The sequence below is a fragment of the Homo sapiens genome, chromosome 15 (genome assembly GCF_000001405.40).
Source record: "Homo sapiens chromosome 15, GRCh38.p14 Primary Assembly".
In the NCBI taxonomy this organism is placed as follows: Eukaryota; Metazoa; Chordata; class Mammalia; order Primates; family Hominidae; genus Homo; species Homo sapiens.
Window position 1 is genome coordinate 70322645 of NC_000015.10, and position 2784 is coordinate 70325428.

The window sequence follows — 2784 nt, forward strand, 5'->3', positions numbered from 1 at the left end:
TTGGAGTGGGCAGAAACAGGTCTTACTCTGCCCTCGGTGGCCAGCATGACGTCTGGCACCTGGCAAGGGCTTCAGAAACTATTGTTTCCCAAAGGAATGGAAAAATGAATAGATTAGAAAGCACCTCAGTGGTCCAGGGATCTGTTCCGTGGTGCTTATTAGGATGATGTTGTCCCAGCCTCAAGAGACCTGCTCCTTTCCGCACCTCCACCTCTGTCCCTCCCCTTCATCTTCACGTCATTGGAGAGACATTTCATTTTCCCACTTCCTCAAAACGTTTTGAATTTGGAAAATAGCAATCGTTTAGGAAAATGGGTAATTACCAAAGGCACAATCATGGAAAACATGTAACTCCTTGAGTCTTACTGAAATGTCAAGGACTTGATTAGAGGGAGCCCCGGCCCTGGTGATCTGAAGAAAATATGATCTGTTTGTCCTAGAGGGGAAAGAAGGATCACTCTTTATTTACAAACCAGCCAGGCTAATCCCTTCTGACAATATGGGAAGTCATTCTGCTCTGCCGAAGCACTGTTTCAGGGCTCCCTTAAGGAAGAACTATCTTCTACTCAATTAAAGCAAAGCCTGAACTCGCTTTGACCCCGTCATTCCACAGCCAGGAAAGCAGGCTCCGCTCCTTCCAGCAGGGTGGCTGCCCGGGCTCCAGGCCGAACTCTTTTTCATCAGGATGTCTCAAGCATTTACTGGGGTGAGAAACTGGGGAGTGGAAACCATCCCTCCCTGGTTCCTTCAGCCTGGCCCAGCCTTGGGTGCTAAGAAAGAGAGCTGCCGGAGAGGGAGATGGATAAAGTGTCCCTCGGGCCACCTCGGCCTGCCCAGCTCCTGGGGAGGCCCCAGCAGTCAGAATCAATGAGCAGCCACCAGCAGCAGGTAGGGGTGTCCCTGAAAGGCCTTCAATGCCCCACCTGTTTCCCCTGTCCCCTGCTCTATGTAGGTCAGTGCCTCCAACTCAGACCTGCCTGCCAAGCCCTGCCTCTGTCTGCAGGAGTGAGCAGTACCATTATTTACTGGAGACCAAAGCAAGACAGGCCGCATAGATGATCTTACTGGAAAACCACACACTCAGCCAGTCCCCCCTCCCCTTCTCTTCCCCAAACACCACCAACCCCCAGGGAGGGAAAGAGCTTAGGCAGGCCAACTGCTGTAGGAAGCGGTACTTTAGCTGGGAAGATCATCTATACAGAAAAGCATAATTTTCTTCTTGCTCCTCTCAATTACAAAATAATAAGATTGTTAAAAATCCAATAGCATGAATGTCAATATTGGCAGGGACAGCCACAGGAAATTTAATTGCACAATGGGTGCCAGTTAAAGATGGTATGTGCTCTTCTCGGCTTTTCTTAATTCTAATTAGGATAAAATTTACTGATCTTACAGACTCACAAACAGAGGGTTGTCACTCCGCCAGGAATGGATCCTAACACTCTTGGCTTCCTTTTCTGAGCCTCTTGCCTTTTTTTTTCTTCCTCAAAACATCATCCCTGATTGGGACTTTTAGCTGATTTTGAACATCAGCTCTCCGGTTTCTTTGGCATGTCAGAGGGCCAGATGTTTTTTATTTGAGAGCAAATTGACACATTAAATTACACTGTGCAAACATTAAAGCCAGCCGAGGGTAAACAGGCCGAGATTCATTGAATTTTACGGGTCACAATAATGTTTATGTAATTTAACAAATTCCTGCCCTGCTGCTGAGTCTCTCCAAGAAGTATTAATGTAAGAAAGATGAGACCTGCCCCGAGGCTGTCGTCCCATCCACCTCACTGCGGCCTCTCAGAACCCTTGCCCAGCAGGTTTTAGAGTTGAGTAACTGAGTTCCCCTATGCAGAATTACTGCTTAGTCTGGCTCTGTCTTAAAGACACAGCCTAGTTTCTTCCACATGAAGCCTGATGAAATACTCTTGGTGCTGGACATCTGCTGAGTTTGCCTGTCCGGGATGCCTCCACTCCTACTTTTGATAGTGGCCCTATGATTTTTCTCTAGGAATCATCATCCCATCCCATTTTCAGTTTCCCCAGTTCCTCTGGGGAAGATCCCACTCTCCGGCTCCAGGGATGAGCATGTGCCTCAGGCCTGGTCCATCGGGGCCTTGCATCCCGCCCGTGGCCTTGGTGATTGGTTCAGAGATGGGAACGAGATCACATCTGGGTCAATGAGCATCCACCCCAGGACTTTCACAAAACTGGCAGAATAAGGAGCTCTCTTTCCACCAGTCTTAAGTGGTAAAATGTAAGTTGGGAGCTGCTGGGCGCCATCTTGCCACCAGTTGGAAATGGCTGTTGGGAATGAGGCCAACACAGAAGAAAGTACAAACGGAGAAGGGCACATTCCCAGTGAGATTTTTTGAGCCCCTGGGTCCAATTACAGCTGAAGTCTAACCTGGGGTTTTTGATTGTGTGAGTTAACAAATCCACTGTTTTGGTTAAGCCAGTTTGAGTTGAATCTCTATCATTTTCACCTTTTATTCAACAAAACAAAAGATTCCCCTATAGGTCTCTGTAGAGAATAGGACCTCTCCTCCACATTCCATGTGACACTGGGCTCCATGCTCACCTCTGACTCCCTAAAGCATTCCTAAGACTTCCTCCACCTCCTCTCCAGTCAGGCTGTTCTGTTCCTAAACACACACTGCGTATCTCACCTTGCTGCCACTTTATTTTCCTCCTGTTGCCTGCAGTGCCATTGTCCCCTATCTACCACCCATCCTCTAGGGCCAGGCTGAATTCTCCTTTCCACAAAGACAACTCCCTACCACTCAGAACTCC

General features: G+C 48.2%; 1 annotated feature.

Moving 5' to 3' along the window:
- Positions 311-830: an enhancer, noted in NCBI's record as "H3K4me1 hESC enhancer chr15:70615294-70615813 (GRCh37/hg19 assembly coordinates)". NCBI's record gives its function as "activates a minimal SCP1, AML or CMV promoter by ChIP-STARR-seq in naive H9 embryonic stem cells {active_cell/tissue: H9 hESC(naive)}" and the evidence as "EXISTENCE:reporter gene assay evidence [ECO:0000049][PMID:30033119]".